We start from the raw sequence: 19834 nt of genomic DNA, 5'->3' as shown, positions 1-19834 counted from the left end.
CAGGTGCTCAATTTTTGTTTTTCGTTTAGACAGGTTTCATTCTTTCACCCAGGCTGGAGTGCAGTGGTGCTATCATAGCTCATTGTAGCCTCAAACTCCTGGGCTGAAGTGATCCTCCCACCTCAGCCTCCTGAGTAGCTGGGACTACAGGTGCACTCTGCCATGCCGGGCTAACTTTTAAAAATTTTTGTCCGGGCACAGTGGCTCATGCCTGTAATCCCAGCACTTTGGGAGGCCGAGGTGGGTGGATCATGAGGTCAGGAGTTCAAGATCAGCCTGGCCAAGATGATGAAACCCTGTCTCTACTAAAAATATAAAAAAAAATTAGCTGGGCGTGGTGGTGGGTGCCTGTAATCCTAGCTATTCAGGAGGCTGAGGCAGAGGATTGCTTACACCTGGGAGGCGGAGGGTGCAGTGAGCCAAGATCGTGCCACTGCACTCCAGCCTGGGTGACAAAGTGAGACTCTGTCTCAAAAAAAAATCTTTGTGTGTGTGTGGAGATGAGGGTATGCACTTTGTTGGCCAGGTTGGCCTCGAACTCCCAGCCAAGCAATTCTGCCTGGGATTACAAGCGTGAGCCACCATGCCTGGCCTCAAATATTGTTGAATGGCTAGCAGTTAAGTCCTTGGGTTTATAAGCATTTCCTCAACTGTCCTCCCAAGTCCCCATAAGACAAAAAACTCATAAAATCCCACCTTACAGAAGAGGCAGCTGGCCCGGCACAGAGATGCTGTCTGCCCCGGGTCACACAGGGTGGCATCTGACACCTGTCTGAGTTCTTCACTCAGAGTCTTTAAATATAATTAGCGTATTTGACATAATGTACATTAAAAACTATAAACCTGTCAGCCTTTGTCTACTGCAAAGAATCCACTACAAATATTGGGGCAGGGATCTGTTCTTGGACCATAGTAGTGTCTCCAGACCTCATGGTCCTCTTCATTAAAACAACAGAAAATTCCTTCTGGGCCATCAGATGAGACCATGAGATAGAAGATTTCCAAGTGAAGATTTTGTTTCAAGACAGAGTCTTGCTCTGTCACTCAGGCTAGAGTGTACTGGTGCAATCATAACTGTGGTGACAGCCTCGAACTTTTGGGTACAAGTGATTCTCATGCCTCAGACAACACCCAACTAATATTTTGGTTTTTGTATAGACAGGGTCTTGCTATGTGGCTTAGGCTGGTCTTGAACTCCTGGCCTCAAGCAGTCCTCCCGCTTCAGCCTCCTAAAGTGTCAGGATTACAGACATGAGCCACCAAGTCCAGCCTGAAGATTTTTAAAAATTATTGTTAGTAGTAGTCGCCAGAGTTACTACATCCAAAGTCCCTACTAAGTTCTAAGTAGTCCCTACTAAGTTCTAAGGCAGTTTCTCAACTCATTAGAGTTGTTTTTTGTTTTTAAAGAAAAAAAGAGGCTGGGCACTTTAGGAGACCGACACGGGAGGATCGCTTGAGTCCAGGAGTTTGAGACCAACCTGGGCAACATGGGCCCCCATCTCTAAAAATTTTAAATTAAAAAAATGTTTTAACAACAAAAAGCGTTCTGGGAGTGAGGGGCTGGGGCCTGGGCGGCCTCATTCCATATACCTGTGCCGGGTTGAGGGGTTGGAGACACGTTTAGAGACCCCTCCACTCTAGGAATCCACCTCGAGAGATAAAGGTCCCGGCCCTAGCCACACCCCCAGGACACGGCCAGAGGCCACCTCCCTAGGCGGGTCCCTCCCCACCGCCAGGTTCCTGGAGCGCGTGCGGCGCGTGTGCAGGGGTAGGGGGCCGCAGGCGCGCGGACTGGAGAGGCGCGCCCCTCCCGCGTGTTGAAATTCAAAAGAGGCGAACGGCCCCCGGCGCGGCGGCGCGGCTCCGGTGGAGAGGTCAAGGCAGGGGCCAGTCGGAGGCTCCCGGGGCGGGGTCGAACCCGCGGCCAACCTGAGCAGCAGCGGAAGCTTAAAGAGCTCAGGTTCCCGCCCCCCGGCCCTACCATGGCTACAGAGCAGTGGTTCGAGGGGTCGCTCCCCCTGGACCCTGGAGAAACACCGCCTCCAGACGCCTTGGAACCTGGGACGCCGCCCTGCGGAGACCCCTCCAGGTCGACGCCCCCTGGCAGGCCTGGGAACCCATCTGAGCCGGATCCTGAAGATGCCGAGGGGCGGCTGGCTGAGGCCCGGGCCTCCACGTCTTCCCCCAAACCTCTGGTCCCCCGGCCTGGGCCAGCACCTCCCCGCCTATCCCTGGACACTTTGTTCAGCCCCATCACCCAACAGCTGCGCTACCTACTGAAGAAGGCAGATGATTTCCAGAGCTACTTGCTCTACAGGTGATGCTGGACAGGGTCCCAGGTCCCCATGGGTAAGGAGACTTGGAGGGGAGGCGACAGGATGGGTGACACACACCAGGGTCGCAAAATTACAAGCGCTAGGAGCCAGAGGGAGACAGTGGAAGAAGCTAGCATATTAGAATCCAGTTTAAGAGAATGAGGAAGACTGTAGAATTGCGGGTAGGGGATGGCTGCTATTACTGTCGTGGCAGTGTGGGCCTGGGGTTGTCAAGTCTCTAGGACTTTTTCTCCCAGTTTTTAAGTGCTGTCTTACATTTTGAGCCCTGTGCTGGCTAAACAAGACCCACCTGAGCCAAACTTGGCCTGCAGGACATCAGTTTGAGACTCCAAAGGATAATGTGATTCCCAGACCAGGTTTCCCTGTGACTCTCAATTTCAGTGTCCATTGGAATTTCCTAGGAGGCTGGGTTGGGTTTTGTTTGCGTGTTTGTTTTTGAGATGGAGTCTCACTCTGTCGCCCAGGCTGGAGTGCAGTGGTGCAATCTCAGCTCACTGCAACCTCCGCCTCCCGGATTGAAGCAATTCTCTGCCTCAGCCTCCCGAGTAGCTGGGATTACAGGCGCCCACCAACATGTGTTGCCCGGCTAATTTTTTTCTTTTCTTAGTAGAGACAGAGTTTCACCATCTTGGCCAGACTGGTCTTGAGCTCCTGACCTCATGATCCACCCGCCTTGGCCTCCCAAAGTGCTGGAATTACAGACGTGAGCCACCGCGCCTACCCGAGGCTGGGTTTTTTTGTTTTGTTTTGTTGTTATGTGTTTTTTTGAAATGGAGTCTTGCTCTGTCACCTAGGCTGGAGTGCAGTGGGGCGAACTCAGCTCACTGCAACCTCCGCCTCCCAGGTTCGAGGGATTCTCATGAGGCTGTTTTTTTTTTTTTAATGAGACAGGGTCTCGCTCTGTCACCCAAGCTGGAGTGCAGTGGGGCAGTCATAGCTCACTGCACCCTCGAACTCCTGGTCTCAAGCAATCTTCCCACCTCCACCTCCTGGGTAACTGGGACTACAGGTGCCACCATGCCCAGCTAATTATTTTTGTGTAGAGATGGGTTCTTGCTATGTTGCCTAGGCTTGTCTGGAACTCCTGGCCTCAAGCAATCCTCCAGCCTCAGCCTCCCAAAACTCTAGGATTGCAGGCGTGAGCCACTGCGCCCAGACCCTGCAGGAAGCTCTGGGTCCTAAGTGTTGTGAGACTCAGGTGTCAGCACTTTAACAAGTGTTCCAAATGGGTTTGATGCAGGTAAACCAGAAAGATGTTCAGAAAAGACCTGAAACTGGGGGCTTTTCTAATGGGTCAAAGCCAGGGATACAGGTTGGGATTGAGTAGAATGGGGAAAACTGCGGGGTGGGGAGGGGTTGTGAGGGATTCCAGGCAAAGGCCCCCTTCTTCCTTCAGCAGAGACCAAGTACAGAAGGAGCAGCTGGCCAAGGCCATGCCCACCTTCTTACAGATGTGTGAGCCCTACTTCCTGTACCTGGAGGCAGCCGCGAGAAGCATACCCCCCATCTATGGACCCCTGCAGGAGCTGGTCCGAAAGGGGGTGTGTGGAGGTTTCTTAGACCCCACGCCCCTTTCTTCTCGCAGCTCTGAGCCTGTGGGGATGGTGGAGGGGGAGGCCCACTCCTCGCAGGCCAGCTGATCTCACTGTACCCCCCTCTTGTATGCAGCTGTTAGAGATCTCCCAACAGCTGACCCTGCGCCTGGAACAGCTGGTCCTCATGTACGCTTCCTTTGGGTTCGTGGACCTGGAGGAGATGAACCCCCTTAGGTAAAATGGTAGGAGACTCAGATGGGGGGATGAAGGAGTCCAAGGCCCAGCCTCACCCCTCCATTCTCTCATGTCTCGCCAGCATCTCCTGTTTCTTTTGCGGGAGGTTCTCCATCAGCCTGTCCCATGAGGTCTCCATCTTCAGATACTGTGCCCCAACCGCCTACACTGCCAGCCGCTTCCCCCGCTACCTCTATAAGAAGATGCGCTGGCACCTGGAAGCCACCCCAGAGGCCCCTGGTCGGGGACAAGATTCCCTTGTGGATTAGTAAGTCCTCTTACCCAAATCAAAGTCCTCCCCTTTCTATGATGAATGCCAATATGACCCTCCAAACCGTCACCAGCAAAGTGAAAAGTGAGCCAGGGCCCGAGGCAGTGGCTCACGCCTGTAATCCCAACACTTTGGGAGGCCGAGGCAGGAGGATCACTTGAGCTCAAGAGTTTGAGATCAGCCTGGGCAAGATGGCAAGACCCTGTCTCAACAACAAAGAAATTCGCCAGGCGTGATGGCTGGCACCTGTAGTCCCAGCTACTTGGGAGGCTTAGGCAGGAGGAGCACTTGAGCCCAGGAATCAAGGCTACGGTGAGCTGTGATTGTGCCACTGCACTCCACCCTGAGTGGAAGCAATAATCTGTCTCTTAAAAAAAAAAAAAAGTGAACCAGGAAACTAAAGGCTTTTGAAAGGCTACCTCTATTTTCTTAAAACCCACCCTCCCACCAAAATAAAAGTTCTCATCTTAAAAGTAGGCTGGCAGGGAGAAAAGGCCTTGGAGTCACATTCCTACCTGAGAACTTCAGGGCAACTTCTGATGAGTTCCCACCTCAACTCCAAAATTAAAGCCCTCAACAGAAGTAGCTAGGAAGCTGATCACTTCTAATTACAGCTCCCTCCCCTCCTAGCTACTTTCTGTGCTATCGAGATACTTGGGAAGACACAGGCCAGAGTCCAGCCAATTCGTGCCCACAGATCCAGAAGCTGTGGTCCATCGGCCGATGGGTGCCCCTAGGACCAGCCGAGGATGACCTTTATTCATGGTAGGAGCTAGGGCAATAGCAACGTGGGCCTGGGAGCTGGAGGGGGAGGCAGAACCCCACCAAAGACAATCCACCTTCCCAAACACTTTGCTTCCCTTAGTAGTGATAGCATTTTATTGTGCCCTGAAAAGCACTTCATGCAGACCCCAGTAACAACCCATGGAGATCTATGCTATTGGCCCCATTTAACAAAGAAAACAGGGTGCTCAGAGAAGTTGTTACCTGCCCAAGGACACACAGCTAGCAGAGCGAATGGACAGGTCAGGACCAGTTATTCAGCCTCTAGGAGCCATTACTAAGTCTCTGATCAACAAGGAAACAAGTTTCCCCCGGGGGTTTTTCCCACCCGCAGCTGAAACAAAGCCTCTTTCACCTGAGCCTCTCACTCAAAGGGAGGGACTCCCGAGGGGCAGGGGGCACTCAAGTCCAGGCCTGTCTATCCCTGGCCCCCCCACCCCAGGATTTTGTGCCCGCAGCCGCTTGGGGACTACCAGCAGCTGCTGACCATCGGCTTCGAGGAGCCCACGCCCACGCTGGCCACCGACCTGCTGGTGCAGATCCTCACGGGCCAGGCAGGCCAGGCCCGGCCTCCGAGCGCAGCCGGGCCTGCGGGGTGGGCAGCGCAGGGGTCTTGAACCTGGGGAAGAGGGTAGGAGCTGGAACTTGACAGTTCCAAACTCCAGAATAGGGGGCAGGGGAGGGGCTCACTCGTTCTCGCAGTGCAGCCCGGCCTCGCCTTCCAAAGGGCCAGGCCGAGCTGACCTGTCTGCACCGAGTCCGGCTTGGCCGTGGGGCCCTGAATGCGGACACGTCAGTTTTGTGTTAAATAAAAGAAAGAAAGAGGTCACAGGCTCAGCGTCCGCTGCGAATGCCGCGCCCCTCCCCCGGGGGATTGCCCCACCCACTCGCGTGGCCTTCTGGGAAATGTAGTCTTTTGAAAGAAGCCTGGAATTCGCCAATAGGCGGACGAGAGTTTGGCGCATGCGCATAGGCGCACATGAAGCAAAAAGGGAAGTGGTGCCCGTCAACACCGGAACCCAGAAAACTGCAAGTTTAGGGTACCGGGGAAATTCAACGTCCACTGGAGGAAGAGACTTAAGGCTACGCCCACTCCCATATTTTGACCCGGAAGTTATTTATTTTAGCGTAGAAGACTACTTTTCCCGACGCGCCCCAGGAAAGTGCCCTCGATCAGTTTCCTAAGGGCCCGAGTTAGACTTTTTTTTTCTCTTCCAGCTTTTGGGACTTGGGGGCCGGACAGGTCGTCGTCTTTCTTGGGGTATCCGGGGTGCGGACAAGGTGGGAGAGCCCTACGGTATCCAAGCTTAGGATCTCTCAGCCTCTCTCTAATCTCGGACTGGAGAGGAGACCCTGGCTGAGAGAAATGAACTCACCTGCTCAAAGCTCCTGCGAGCAAGTGGCGGACCTTGGACCTGAACCGGGTACTTGTGATCGCAACCCGGTACTTGTGGCCCGTTGCAAGGAGGAAGGGTGTCCTCCTGAGCCAGGTGTCACTCAGCTGCGGGTTATACCCCTTTAATCCAAGAGGGACCCTTTTGGTTCTCCTCCCCTCCCCTCCCCTCCCCCCGCCCCCGGCAGCATTTTCATAGAGGAGACACCCAGAGCCCTGCCCTTATTTATGATTTTGAGCAAAGCACCTACCTTCCAGTCCCTGGCACATAGTATTAGCCTCCATTTCCAGATGATAAAAAAGGACGTTAGAGGTGAAATGAATCAATATTGAATGCCAACACTAGTTTCGCTCTTGTCGCCCAGGCTGGAGTACAATGGCATGATCTCGGCTCACTGCAACCTCCGCTTCCCAGGCTCAAGTGATTTTCTTGCCTCAGCCCCACGAGTAGCTGGGATTACAGGCTGATGCCACCAGGCCCAGCTAGTTTTTGTATTTCTAGTAGAGACGGGGTTTCGCCATGTTGGCCAGGCTGGTCTCCAACTCCTGACCTCAGGTGATCCGCTCGCCTCTGCCTCCCAAAGTGCTGGGATTACAGGCGTGAGCCACCGCGCCCGGCCACTATTGCTCTTCCATGGGTATTTCTGGTGACAATTTCTGACTGCATCAAGGATGTTTTTTAGTCCACAGCTGTGGTCTGAATGACATCAAGGAAATCCTGATGCTCCCTGATACCGCTTTGAGGGAGTCCCTGTGAGTTTTCCTGTGGCTCTAAGATGTTTTTCGGGGGGAGGGAAGGGTCTTGCTCTGTCACCCAGGCTGGAGTGCAATGGCGCAATCCTGGAACCTCCAACTTCTGCAAACTCTAACTCCTGGGTTCAAGTGATCCTCCCACTTCGGCCTCCTAAGCAGCTGGGAGTACAGGCAGCGACGATGCCCCTATTTTATTATTATTATTATATTATTATTATTATTGTAGAGAAGGGGGGGGTTCTTCCTATGTTGACCAGGCTGGTCTCGAACTCCTGGCTTAAGCTATCCTCCCGCTTCGGCCTCCCAAAGTGCTGGGATTACAGGCATGAGCCACCCTGCCCGGCCTTTAAGATTCTTTAGACTCGTGGGGTCCAATGGAAATATCAAGTGAGCTGCAAACGCAAATCACGTATGTAGTTTCAAATTTTCTAGTAACCACATAAAAAAATTAAGAGGTTAGGGCCAGGCGCCGTGGCTCATGCCTATAATCCCAGCACTTTGGGAAGCTGAGGCAGGCGGATCACGAGGTCAGGAGATTGAGACCATCCTGGCTAACACGGTGAAACCCCGTCTCTACTAAAAATACAAAAAATTAGCCGGGCGTGGTGGCAGGCGCCTGTAGTCCCAGCCATTCGGGAGGCTGAGGCAGGAGAATGGCGTGAACCCGGGAGGTGGATCTTGCAGTGAGCCGAGATCGCACCACTGCATTCCAGCCTGGGTGACACAGCGAGACTCCGTCTCAAAAAAAAATAAAAAATAAAAAATTAAGAGGTTAGATTCATTTTCGTGATATTTTATTTAACCTGTTATACCCAAAATATTATTTCAATGTATAATCCATGTAAAAAAATTATTGAGGTATTTTCCTTTTTTGTACTGTCTTAGAAATCTTGGCCGGACATGGTGGCTCATGCCCATAATCCCAGCACTTTGGGAGGCCGAGACAGGTGGGTCACTTGAGGTCACGAGTTCGAGACCAGCCTGGCCAACATGGCAAAATCCTGTCTCTACTAAAAATGCAAAAAAAAAAAACAAAAAAAAAAAAGGTGGGTGTGGTGGTGGGCGCCTGTGATCCCAGCTATTCAAGAGGCTGAGCCAGGAGACTCGCTTAAATCTGGGAGATGGAGGTTGCAGTGAGCCGAGATCGCACCACTACACTCCAGCCTGCGCAACAGAGCGAGACTCCATCTGAAAAAAAAAAAAAAAAGCCAGATGCAGTGGCTCACACCTGTAATCCCAGCACTTTGGGAGGCCGAGGCAGGCAGATCATGAGGTCAGGAGTTTGAGACCAGCCTGGCCAACATGGCGAAACCCCATCTCTACTAAAACTACAAAAATTAGCCGGGCATGGTGGCAGGTGCTGGTAATCTCAGCTACTCTGGAGGCTGAGGCAGGAGAACCGCTTGAGCCCAGGAGATGGAGGTTGCAGTGAGCCGAGATCGTGCCATTGCACTCCAGCCTGGGCAACAAGAGCAAGACTCCATCTCAAAAAAAAAAAAAAAAAAAAAAAGGAAAAGAAATCTAGCATTTCACATTTACAACATATCTCAATTCAGACTAGCCACAAGCAGCTCTAGACGGTCTCCTTTAAGTCAAATCCACTGTCTCTTAAGACAGGGTTTCGGGTGGGTGGTGACAGTACAGTACTGGAAGGGGAAGGAAACAAGCTTTGTTTCCTGGGTCCTGTTGCTGAGCAGCTTTCTACACCCTTGATTCTCAAACTTCCTAGTGTGCATCAGAATCACATGGAGAGTTTGATCATTAAGTCTGGGATGAGACCCAAGAAAGTGCTTTTTTTTCTCTCTCTCTTTTTTTTTTTTGGTAGAGACTTTGTCTTGCTATATTGCCCACACTGGTCTTGAACTCCCAGACTCAAGCAATTATCCCACCTCAGCCTCCCAAAGTGCTGTGATTATAGGCATGAGCCACCACACCTGGCCCCTGGAAGGCGCATGTCTAGCAATTCCCCAAGCATTGCGGATACTGCTGGTCCTGGTGCCACTACATTGAGAACTGCTGGTTTATATTTACTTCATGGTTCTCAGACTCAGCTGTATATTGTAATCACCTGGGAGCTTCAAAAAATACTGATGTCAAGCCCTTCCCCCATTCTGATTTACTTGACATATGGGGGCCTCAGTTGAGTTTAATATTCAGAAAAGTTAGAGAATCCCTCATCTATACTTAAGTAGTCCTGTCCACTCTTTTTTTTTTGGAGATGGAGTCTCGCTCTGTCACCCAGGCTGGAGTACAGTGGTGCAATCTCAGGGCTCACTGCAACCTCTGCCTCCTGGGTTCAAGTGATTCTCCTGCCTCAGTCTCTTGAGTAGCTTGGACTACAGGCATGCGCCACCATGCCTGGCTAATTTCTTGATTTTTAGTAGAGATGGGGTTTCTCCATGTTGGCCAGGCTGATCTCGAACTCCTGACCTCAGGTGATCCACTCGCCTTAGCCTCCCAAAGTGCTGGGATTACAGGCATGAGCCACTGCACCAGGCCTAATTTTTGTATTTTTAGTGGAGATGGGTTTTCACCATGTTGGCCAGGCTGGTCTCAAACTCCTGACCTCAGGTGATCCACCCACCTTGGCCTCCCAAAGTGCTGGGATTACAGGCATGAGCCACCATGCCCGGCCCCTGTCCACTCATGACATACTTAGTTCTTGGCTCCCCTGCTGGAAATTAAGACCAGCCTCTAGGTGTTTCCATTTTCCACCTTCCCAGGCTCTCTCCGCCTTTCTCTACATAGCTCCCACAGTCACAGTGAAGTATGCTGAGGATGGGGTCACTGGGCTGAGGATGGGGTCAGCTGATGAGCCCTTCATGGGCTGAGCTGCTCTTGGGTGCAGCCTTGTATCAGCATGACCTCTCTGTATTTTATGCATATGGATTTCACTAGACATTTGATGCCCCTATACAAGAGACAGAGTTGGACAGAGCCAAGAATTTGTTTTTGTTTAAGACAGAGTTTCGCTCTGTCACCCAGGCTGGAGTGCAGTGACACGATCTCAAGAGCCAAGAGTTGAAACAGCGATTCTAAAATGTTCCTGGGTTGGGTGTGGTGGTTCACACCTGTAGTCCCAGCTACTCAGGAGGCTGAGGCAGGAGGATCACTTGAGCCCAGGAGATCAAGGTTACAGTAAGCTGTGATCATGCCACTGCACTGCAGCCTGCGTGACAGAACAAGACTTGTCTCCAAAATTGAAAACATTTTTAAATTTAAACTTCCTGGGTCTCCCCTTTTCTGGTCTTAGTGAATTTTTTTTTTTTCTTAGGTTACAGATCTCACTCTCACCCAGGCTGGAGTGCAGTGGTTCAATCATAGCTCACTGTAGCCTCAACCTCCCAGGCTCAGGCGATCTCCTGCTAAGCTTCCAGAGTAGCTGGGACCACAGGCACATGCCACCACACCCGGTTAATTTTTTGTAGAGATGGGGTGGGGCAGTGTCTCGCTATGTTGCCCAAGCTGGTCTTGAACTCCTGGGATCAAGCAATCCTCCTGCCTTGGCCTCCCAAAGTGCTAGAATTACAGGCATGAGTCACCATGTCTGGTCCTCAGTGCACTTCTTTTTTTTTTTTTTAATATGGAGTCTTGTTCTGTCACCCAGGCTAGAGTGCAGTGGTGCAATCTCGGGTCATTGCAACCTCCACCTCCCGGGTTCACGCCATTCTCCTGCCTCAGCCTCCTGAGTAGCTGGGACTACAGGCACCCACCACCACGCCCGGCTAATTTTTTTTTTTTTTTTTGTATTTTTAGTAGAGATGGGGTTTCACCATATTAGCCAGGATGGTCTTGATCTCCTGACCTCGTGATCCACCTGCTTTGGCCTCCCAAAGTGCTGGGATTACAGGCGTGAGCCACCGCGCCAGGCCCTCAGTGCACTTCTAAGACACTGTAAAAATAGTCCCAGAATGTTAACTGTGCAGATACAGTTTTAGAGACAATTTAGGGTGTTCACCCACCCTCTTGAACCCCCATCCAGGGGAGAGAAATTAACCAGAGCTTGCAAATTGACAGCCACAGGCCCTATTGCAAACAGTTGTTGCTTGCCAACTTCCTTCCTTCCTCTCCTCCCGCACAACTTTAAAAGTTTTTTCTAGGCAGGGCGCCTAGAAAAAACTGGGAGGCTGAGGCCGGCAGATCACTTGAGGCCAGGAGTTCAAGACCAGCCTGGACAACATGGTGAAAACCCATCTCTACTAAAAATACAATAAATTAGCCGGTGTGGTGATGTGCACCTGTAATTCCAGCTACTCGGGAGGCTTAGGCAGGAGAATTGCTTGAGCCCAGGAGGCAAAGGTTGTAGTGAGCTGAGATCGCACCACTGCACTCCAGCCTGGGTGACAGAGCAAAACTGTCTCAAAAAAAAAAAAAAGTTTTTCCTAAATAGTCACAATCATAAAAATGCAGATTTCTCTCTTAAAAGCCAGGTTTCAGTTGCCTTTTTTATTTTTTTGAGGCAGAGTCTCACTGTGTCACCCAGGCTGGAGTGCAGTGGCCCGTTCTTGGCTCACTGCAACCTCCGCCTCCTGGGTTCAAGTGATTCTCATGCCTCAGCCTCCTGAGTAGCTGGATTACAGACATGCACCACCACGCCCGGCTAATATTTTGTATTTTTAGTAGAGACGGGGTTTCACCGTGTTGGCCAGGCTCGTCTCCAATTCCTGGCCTCAACTGATCCACCCACGTCGGCCTCCCAAAGTGCTGGGATTACAGGCGTGAGCCACCGCGCCCGGCCACGGATGCTTTTGGAAAGCAGAAACTCTTGACCCAACACCACGAATGAGCACGTCTCATAGTGAGGACCCATGAGGTCAAGAAGAACGGTGATCATTAGGAACTAATAATGTTGAGAAGCCTGAACCCTCACCACCTCTTTTTTTTAGTAGCTATTGTTTACGTTCCCAGGGTAGGAACAGCCTCTTATCACCACTGTCTAGCCAGTGCCCAGCGCAGGGCACATCGTTGGCACCAATAAATGTTGACGAGGAAGCCTGGAAACGAGAGGGTGTGAACTCGGTAAGCGCGCCACATTTTGCGCCCGGGCCGCCAGGGGGCGGTAGGACCTGGGCCAGGCCGTGTCTGGCCGTGCCGGGGGAGGCGGGCAGCCCCAGAGCAGGGCGGTAAGGGCGCATTCCCGCATTCCGGCCCGCACCTCTTGGGGTTTTCTCGGGCCTCCCTCGGCCCGCCGTGCTCCCGCCCCACCCCAGACGAAGAGGACCCAGAAAAAAACAGGCTGCAGTGCCCTGAAAGAAGAGGCTTTATTGGGGGTGGGGGGAGTGGGGCAATCGAGGCGGTAACTCCGGCCCTCTTAACAGTCAAGGGAGAGGGTAGTTCAGTTTGCAATTAGGCAGAGAAGGGCTGGGCAGTTTCACTGGCGGAGTTGTGGGTGGTGGTCAGTTTCCCAATGGGGGACTGTAAGTTTTATAGAGGGGGCTGGTCAATTTCACAAAGGCAAGTCGATTTCATCTTCCCCAATGCAGAGAGCCGACCCTTCTCCAGGCCTAATGCTAGACGCCCCCCGCCCTGTTCCTCTGACGCGTACGTTACTTCCGGCCGGGGGTCCCAGCCTTTTCAAACCTCAAGGTTTGCGCTCCTCCTGGGGACAGAGGACCAGAAGGAAGGCCGGCCTCAGGGACCTGCGCACTGCATCCAGGCTCGGGGTGGCGGTTTGGGCCTCAAGACCACCGTCTCCTCTTCACCCCGGGGATGCGTCCCAGACTGAGTTCTGACCAGAGTGGCCCTCCAGGGAGGATGCACTTTTCCCCACCAAGCGTCCTGGCACCGGAGGGGTGGGGGGACCGACAAGCGCTAGAGGCACACGGGTAAGGGGGCTCCCACCTGCTCCAGGCCGTTCTCCGAGACCTTTCTGCGGGGGGGCCAGATCACCACCAACTTTCCGTCGCCCCTGCTCGCTGCGGGGGAAGGGGCGCTCAGCTCACCAGCTGGCGGCAGCCAGGATGAAAGGCCGGCCGCACCCCTTAAACACACACAGGCGTTCACCCTCCGCCTCCCCATGAAAGCCTCCATTCAACTCCAGGCACCCAGGAACCCGAGGGAGGAGGGAGGTGAACCCAGAATGGAGAAGCAGGAGCCCGAAAATTCAGAGGGAGGACCCAGGAGTGCCAGAACCCAGTCAGGGTTCCCTGGAACCCGACAAAAAGGAAGACATCTGGAATGCCCCCACCCCCGCGCAGCCTGGGTGGTGTGGATCAGAGAGTCCATCACTCCCGGTGGAGGGGTGGATCACAGCGAGTAATGGAGCTCCAGAAGGGGTAGGCAAGAGACAAAATTGAGAGGGGGTCTGGGAGCTTGGAGGGAGAGACCCCGAGAATCGGAGGGCCACAGGAGGGGCCACTGAAGTTGGGCAATCGGTGGGGGCGGCTGGAACCCTGGGGGTCCCGGCGTTGCTACGCCCGCGGCTTACCGGTGAGGCTCGGCGTAGGCTCCTTGAACTCCGCGGTGCCATAGACGCTGCGCCGCTGGCGCTGCAGTTCCTGCTCGCGCTCGCGCACGGCGCGCACCTCCTGCTCCAGCAGTGACGGAGTGAAAGGCGGCGGGGCGCTGCCCAGCACCCGGCACCCGCCCTGCACGGCCGAGCGCGGCCGTCCCCCAGGCTCTGGCAGCCTCTGCGGGCCCGCGCCGTCCCCCGCCCCCGCCGAGGAGCCGCTCCCCGCCGCGGCCTCGAAGAAGCGCTTGAGTTCGCCCAGCGGCTGCGGCGGCGACCGGGCGCGCGGCTCGGGGACCGCGGGGCGCGCCAGCGCCGCCTGCCGGTGGGCCTCCCGCTCGATGTCCCGCTGCATCTGCGCGCCCGCCCGCGCCCGCTCCAGGGCGCGCGGGAGCGCGGGGCCAGGACCCGGCAGGTTGAGCACCGGCCGCACGCGCAGCTCGACGAGTTCACGGCCTGCGCGGCCCGGGCTCAGGCCCCGGCTCCGGCGCAGGCTCTCCTCGCGTTCGCAGCTGCGGCGGATTTCGCGCTCGATGGGCGTCTCCATGAACCGCTCCTCCGGGGGACGCTGGGGAGCCTCGGGGCACGGCGGAAAACGCAGGTGGGGGGCTTCCGAGCCTGACCTGGAGGAGGAGGTCTTAGGGCCTGGAGGGGGATGCTGCCCCTGGACCTCCGCCCTTTGCGCTTCGGACGGCCCAGGGTCGTCTCTGCCTGGCTCAGGACTCTCAAAGCCCGCAGCTGTGGACAGCCCGGGGCTCTCTGCGTCCTGCTCGACTGATGGCTCGAGGACTTCGCTCTCTTGCTCCAGGATCTCCACGTCCTTTGCGGAGGGCTTGGGGACCTCGGTGTTCAGCTCCGCAGCAGCTCTGGGGCTTCGCTGTCTGGCCCTGGGGACTCCTGGCCCTCCTCTTCAGACGACCCCAGGGTTTCGTTCTCCGGCCGGTGGGGGCCTTCGTGTCCAGGGTTGGAAGCAGTTCGGAAGCCTCAGTTCCCAACCGGGGTTTTGATTCCCAGAGCGAGGACAGAGGGCACTGTGAGGCACCTGTGGCGGCAGTGGCGGCCGTGGGTTCCAAGGCGTCGCCCGCACCGGCGGCTTCTCTGACCCGCCTCTGGCCTCCAGGAACGGCCCCCGGGGGCAGGGCCGGGCACCGCCCCCGGCACCTGCCAGGAGGACTCCCGCCCCGCCCTGGCCCCGCCCTCGGGACAGGGGCGCCTCGGTGGGGCACTCAGTTTCATCAACTAGCGCGCCCAGTCACCTCAGGGCACGGGACTTCTTGGAAGAGGGCTTCCCTAGACCCGGCCCCGCTCTCTGGGGGGCCATTCTGGGTGCTGGGTTCTACTGAGCGCACCCTGGCACTTTTTCAGAGCCATGTCCCCGTCATCGTCCCGGAGACTGGGCCCAGCAGCGCGTCGGACTGGGGTTCTGAACCACTAGCCGCTTGGTGAGGTGTCCCCCGAAGCCGTATTTTCGGGACCCGGGCAGTCCCGCTTGGTCGTGCCAGCCGGCAGGCAGCGACTCCTCAGGCCCCTGGGCCCTCCCTCCGATCCAGCCTTGCAGCGCACAGCTCCGGCCCGAGGGGGCGCCAGGAGCCGCCTTACTGGCCGCTGGGGTCTCCCTACCAATGCTTGGGCTCAGCGAGGTTCCCAGCCGCGCACCACTGCCCCCACGCCAAGCCGAGAAGCGGCTTCCCCTCTCCTCCCGGAAAAATCCGGGAGGTGTCCGCTGCCAAGGGCACTCCCGGATTGAGGGAGGAGGGAGAGACGGACACAGTGCGCCGTGGGCGCAGCTTAGCGGTTGCAGTTGAAAGGCGGTCACCTTGGGCCCGGGCGCCTGGGGAGGCCCAGACAGGAAACAGGAGGCGTCCAGGGTAGGGGGAAAGAGCAGCTGGGGCCGGATCATGCGGTTCAAGGGCAGGATCGATGCCCTTGCGCGGGCCACCCTCCCCTAGGGACGTTTTCCACTTTCCCCCTAATGGAAGCAGACTCTTCCCAGAACCTGCCCCCAACCCCACCATTCTGGGGTGCCCAGAAGGAAAAATACAGTTACCGGCCGGGCATGGAGGCTCATGCCCGTGATGCCAGCACTTTGAGAGGCCGAGGCGGGAGGATCACCTGAGGTCAGCAGTTCGAAACCAGCCTGGCCAGCATGGCCAAACCCCGTCTCTACTAAAAATACAAAAAAAAAATTAGCCAGGCCTGGTGGTGGGCGCCTGTAATCCCAGCTACTCGGGAAGCTGAGGTGGGAGAATCACTTGAACCTGGGAGGTGGAGGTTACAGTGAGCCAAGATCGCGCCACTGCACTCTAGCCTAGGCAGCAAGAGCAAAACTCTGTCTCAAAATAAATAAATAAATAAATAAATAAATAAGCTGTATACTTCTGGGAAAAAGTTTTCTCTATAGCACCTTCCCCACTGCATCATCTCCTGGTCCTTCCTCCAGCCATGCCAACTGGGCTGGGTTCTTGGCCCCCTTTCACGGGAACATTTTTTTCTTTTTCTTTTTCTTTTCTTTCTTTCTTTTTTTTTTCTTTTTTTTTTTTTTTTTTTTTTTTGCCGGTCTCAGTCTTTAATCGTGGCAGGGCCTTACGCACGCGCACACATACACACACTCAGGCTTCAGATCTTGTTGAAAGCTGCGATATCGACACTCTGCACGTGCTCCTCAAATTTAGTGATCTCCTCCTCCAGCAAGTAAGTCCCCACCTTGTCGTCCTCCACCACACACTGAATCTGTAGCTTCCGGATACCGTAGCCCACGGGCATCAGCTTGGAGGTCCCCCAGACCAGCCCGTCCAGCTCGATAGAGCGCACACAGGCCTCCAGCTGGGCCATGTCCGTCTCATCGTCCCAAGGCTTGACATCCAGCAGGATGGAGGACTTGGCCACTAATGCAGGCTTCTTGGCCTTCTCCGCGTACTGCCGTAGCCGCTCCTCCCGCAGCTGTGCCGCCTCCTTGTCCTCCTCCTCATTGTCGCTGCCAAACAGGTCGATGTCATCATCCTCGTCATCCTCTGCTGGTGAGGCTGGCTTCTTGGCCGGGGACTCCACTTGGCGCATAGGAGACACGTGCTGGGTCTGCGGGGCCGTGGCCCGGTGGCCAGGCGAGCTCTTCTCCAGCACGTTCAGCTGGGCCTCCAGCTTGGAGATGGCCTGCTGCAGCTCCTGTACCACGCCACGCAGGCTCTGGTTCTCCACTTCCAGACTGGCGATCCGGACAACGAGCTCGCTGTGGTCTCCGCTGGGGCCACTGGAGGCCCCGGGGCCTGAGCTTCCAGCCAGGGATTTCTGGATGTTCTCTCTGGCTCTCACAATGTCATGGAGGATCACGCTGGCGCCGTTCTCCTGGCGGGAGGCACCTGCCACAGGCCTGTTCATCTGCTGATAGAATCTCCTTTCTGCGTCGTCATATTTGAACTTGTCAAACCAGATCTTCTCATGTGCTAGGAAGTTTGTAGCCATTTTTCTGACGCCAGCCAAGGACGCGGCGACCAAGGAGGAGGAATCGGCGGACGCGGGAAGATTGATGAAAGGGCTCTTTTTCTTTTTTGAGACGAAGTCTCACTCTGTTGCCCAGGCTGGAGTGCAGTGGTGTGATCTTGGCTCACTGCAACCTCCGCCTCCTGAGTTCAAGCGATTCTCCTGCTTCAGCCTCTGGAGTAGCTGGGATTATAGGCGTGTGCCACCACGCCCAGCTAATTTTTTTGTAGTTTTAGTAGAGACGGGGTTTCACCATGTTGGCCAGGCTGGTCTCGAACTCCTGACCTCATGATCTGCCCGCCTCAGCCTCCCAAAGTGCCAGGATTACAGGTATGAGCCACCGCGCCCGGCTTCTGGGAGCTTTTTCTGACAAGAGCACCTATGATGTCCGTTTGGCAGATTCAATCACTGACTTCATTCCCTGTCCTCCTCTTCATTAGCTCCTTGGTCTTTGGGTACACCACCCCCTCCTGATTTCCTTCTACTTCACAAGCACCCCTTCTCAGACTTCTGTTTCACCTTCCTTCCCCTCTGGCTTCCTTGGGGTCACCTGATGAAAGAGAGGAGAGTGAAGCCAAGGTGTTTATCCCAGCCAGGCACGGTGGCTCACACCTGTAATTTTAACACTTTGGGAGGCCGAGGCAGGAGGATTGCTTGAAACCAGCCTGGGTAATATAGGGAGACCCTGTCTCTGCAGAAAGGAAGAAAGAAAGAAAGAAGGAAAGAGAGAAAGAAAGGGAGGGAGGGAGGGAGGGAAAGAAGGAAGGAAGGAGGGAAGGAATGAAGGAAAGAAGACATTTTTTAAAATTAGCTGGGTATGGTGGTTTGTGTCTGTAGGCCCAGGCACTTGGGAGCCTGAGGTGGGAGGATCATTTGAGCCTAGGAGTTTGAGGCCGCAGTAAGCTATAATAATGCCAATACACTCCAGCCTGGGTGACAGAGAAAGACCCTGTCTCTAAATAAATAAATAAATAAAATAACACTAAAAAAAGATGTTTAGCTGGGCACAGTGGTTCACACCTGTAATCCCAACACTTTGGGAGGCTGAGGCGGGCAGATGGCTTGAGCCCCAGGAGTTCAAGACCAGCCTGGGTAACGTAGTGAGACCCCATCTCTACAAAAAATGCAAAAATTAGCAGCATGTTGGTGGTGTGTGCCTACAGTCCCAGCTACTCAGGAGGCTGAGGTGGGAGGATCACCTGAGCCCAGGGAGATCAAGGCTGCAGTGAGCTGTGATCACACCACTGCACTCTAGCCTGAGCAACAGAGTAAGACTCTGTCTCAAAAAAAAAAAAAAAAAAAAAATTGGCCACGCACAGTGGCTCATGCCTGTAATCCCAGTGCTTTGAGAGGCCGAGGCAGGTGGATCACCTGAGGTCAGGAGTTCGAGACTAGCCTGGCCAATATGGCGAAAACCCATTTCTACTAAGAATACTAAAAATTAGCCAGGTGTGGTGGCGGGCACCTGTAATCCCAGCTACTTGGGAGACTGAGGCAGGAGAATTGCTTGAACCTGGGAGATGGAGGTTGTAGTGAGCCGAGATCGCACCATTGCACTCCAGCCTGGGCGACAGAGTGAGACTCTGTCTCAAAAAAAAAAGAAAAAGTTTATCCCGTGTCCCCTACCTCCAAGCCCCATTGGTGACATCCCTCTGCTACAGGCAGTAGCTCTACACAGCTCTCTCCAGGGCAAAGAGGTGGTCACAGCTGCCAGGCGTTGCTAACCCAGGGCGTCTATACTGTGCCTTGATGGTTTCCCCTCCAGCTTTATAAACTGGGTTCTATTAAGTTCTCATCAACCACCGTGTTCAAGTGCACAATCTTTTTTTTTTTTTTTGAGACGGAGTTTCGCTTTTGTTGCCCAGGCTGGAGTGCAATGGTGCGTTCTCGGTTCACTGCAACCTTTGCCTCTTGGGGTTCGAGCGATTCTCCTGCCTCAGCCTCCCAAGTACCTGGGATTACAGGCATGTGCCAGCACGCCCACCTAATTTTTTGTATTTTTAGTAGAGACGGGGTTTTACCATGGCCAGGCCGGTCTTGAACTTGTTACCTCAGGTGATCCGCCTGCCTCAGCCTCCCAGAGTGCTGGGATTACAGGCATGAGCCACCGTGCCCAGACTTTTTTTTTTTTTTTTTTTTTTTTTTTGAGAAGGAGTCTTGTTCTGTTGCCCAGGCTGGAGGGCAGTGGCACAATCTTGGGTCACTGCAACCTCCACCTCCTGGGTTCAAGCAATTCTCTGCCTCAGCCTCCCGAGTAGCTGGGATTACAGGCACCCACCACCACGCCCAGCTAATTTTGTATTTTTAGTAGAGACAGGGTTTCACCATCTTGGCCAGGCTGGTCTTGAACTCCTAACCTCATGATCCACTCGCCTCAGCCTCCCAAAGTGCTAGGATTACAGACGTGAGCCACTGCCCCCAGCCTCAAGTGCACAATCTTTCCTATTGGGACTCAGGCTCTGACAAATTTCAATCTCATGTTTTAAACATCTAGGCTGGGCTGGGCACAGTGGCTCAAGCCTGTAATCCCAGCACTTTGGGAGGCGGAGGTGGTGGATCACTTGAGGTCAGGAGTTCGAGACCAGCCTGGCCAACGTGGTGGAA

At 54.5% G+C, this 19834-nt stretch overlaps 2 protein-coding genes, 1 non-coding gene and 1 pseudogene across 6 annotated transcripts, besides 6 other annotated features; 1 reads left to right on the top strand and 3 right to left on the bottom strand.

Moving 5' to 3' along the window:
- Positions 1-1826: 1826 nt before the first annotated feature.
- C19orf67 (chromosome 19 open reading frame 67) lies at positions 1827-5986 on the top strand. 2 transcript variants are annotated; one of them, XM_011528184.3, is made up of 6 exons: positions 1827-2317; positions 3736-3877; positions 4005-4105; positions 4188-4373; positions 5007-5141; positions 5602-5986. In XM_011528184.3, exons 1-6 carry the CDS (start codon positions 1983-1985, stop codon positions 5774-5776), a joined length of 1074 nt encoding a protein of 357 aa, XP_011526486.1. In that variant the 5' UTR covers positions 1827-1982; the 3' UTR covers positions 5777-5986. The 2 variants fall into 2 exon arrangements, with proteins under 2 accessions (XP_011526486.1, NP_001264307.1); NM_001277378.2 differs by having other exon boundaries at positions 3733-3877.
- Positions 5540-5599: an enhancer, noted in NCBI's record as "active region_14154". NCBI's record gives its function as "activates an Ori minimal core promoter by ATAC-STARR-seq in GM12878 lymphoblastoid cells {active_cell/tissue: GM12878}" and the evidence as "EXISTENCE:reporter gene assay evidence [ECO:0000049][PMID:35858748]".
- Positions 5860-6149: an enhancer, noted in NCBI's record as "active region_14153". NCBI's record gives its function as "activates an Ori minimal core promoter by ATAC-STARR-seq in GM12878 lymphoblastoid cells {active_cell/tissue: GM12878}" and the evidence as "EXISTENCE:reporter gene assay evidence [ECO:0000049][PMID:35858748]".
- Positions 12198-12433: a silencer, noted in NCBI's record as "fragment chr19:14185989-14186224 (GRCh37/hg19 assembly coordinates)". NCBI's record gives its function as "represses an EF-1alpha promoter that drives an FKBP-Casp9 reporter gene in an ReSE screen in phorbol 12-myristate 13-acetate-treated (for megakaryocytic differentiation) K562 erythroleukemia cells {active_cell/tissue: K562(+PMA)}" and the evidence as "EXISTENCE:reporter gene assay evidence [ECO:0000049][PMID:32094911]".
- Positions 12548-14824, bottom strand: MISP3 (MISP family member 3). Of its 3 annotated transcripts, none has more exons than NR_111941.2 (3): positions 13733-14824; positions 13147-13285; positions 12548-12904 (listed from the first exon to the last, which is right to left on the bottom strand). NR_111941.2 is itself a non-coding variant. In NM_001291291.2 (3 exons), the coding sequence occupies exons 1-3, from the start codon at positions 14298-14300 to the stop codon at positions 12887-12889; spliced, it is 660 nt and encodes a 219-aa protein (NP_001278220.1). In that variant the 5' UTR covers positions 14301-14824; the 3' UTR covers positions 12548-12886. The 3 variants fall into 3 exon arrangements, 2 of the variants coding, with proteins under 2 accessions (NP_001278220.1, NP_001380506.1); NM_001291291.2 differs by having other exon boundaries at positions 13147-13220; NM_001393577.1 differs by having other exon boundaries at positions 12548-12901; positions 13147-13220.
- Positions 13148-13668: an enhancer, noted in NCBI's record as "H3K27ac-H3K4me1 hESC enhancer chr19:14184754-14185274 (GRCh37/hg19 assembly coordinates)". NCBI's record gives its function as "activates a minimal SCP1, AML or CMV promoter by ChIP-STARR-seq in naive H9 embryonic stem cells {active_cell/tissue: H9 hESC(naive)}" and the evidence as "EXISTENCE:reporter gene assay evidence [ECO:0000049][PMID:30033119]".
- Positions 13856-14265: a silencer, noted in NCBI's record as "silent region_10227". NCBI's record gives its function as "represses an Ori minimal core promoter by ATAC-STARR-seq in GM12878 lymphoblastoid cells {active_cell/tissue: GM12878}" and the evidence as "EXISTENCE:reporter gene assay evidence [ECO:0000049][PMID:35858748]".
- MIR1199 (microRNA 1199) lies at positions 14131-14249 on the bottom strand. The gene has a single exon (NR_106715.1). It is a non-coding gene; the product is annotated as a microRNA 1199 (primary transcript).
- Positions 14836-15005: a silencer, noted in NCBI's record as "silent region_10226". NCBI's record gives its function as "represses an Ori minimal core promoter by ATAC-STARR-seq in GM12878 lymphoblastoid cells {active_cell/tissue: GM12878}" and the evidence as "EXISTENCE:reporter gene assay evidence [ECO:0000049][PMID:35858748]".
- Positions 16306-17285, bottom strand: EEF1DP1 (eukaryotic translation elongation factor 1 delta pseudogene 1; annotated as a pseudogene).

Source organism: Homo sapiens, chromosome 19 (genome assembly GCF_000001405.40).
Source record: "Homo sapiens chromosome 19, GRCh38.p14 Primary Assembly".
NCBI lineage: Eukaryota > Metazoa > Chordata > Mammalia > Primates > Hominidae > Homo > Homo sapiens.
The sequence above is the reverse complement of the archived record's forward strand: the minus strand, read 5'-3'. Positions and strand labels throughout refer to the sequence as shown.

Coding starts and splice junctions, on each gene's coding strand:
- C19orf67 (NM_001277378.2), top strand. CDS start 1,983: ATGGCTACAGAGCAGTGGTTCGAGGGGTCGCTCCCCCTGGACCCTGGA. Junction 2,318..3,732: donor CAGAGCTACTTGCTCTACAG/GTGATGCTGGAC, acceptor TTCTTCCTTCAG/CAGAGACCAAGTACAGAAGG. Junction 4,106..4,187: donor GAGGAGATGAACCCCCTTAG/GTAAAATGGTAG, acceptor ATGTCTCGCCAG/CATCTCCTGTTTCTTTTGCG.
- MISP3 (NM_001291291.2), bottom strand. CDS start 14,300: ATGGAGACGCCCATCGAGCGCGAAATCCGCCGCAGCTGCGAACGCGAG. Junction 13,221..13,732: donor GCCTACGCCGAGCCTCACCG/GTAAGCCGCGGG, acceptor CTTCCCCCGCAG/CGAGCAGGGGCGACGGAAAG.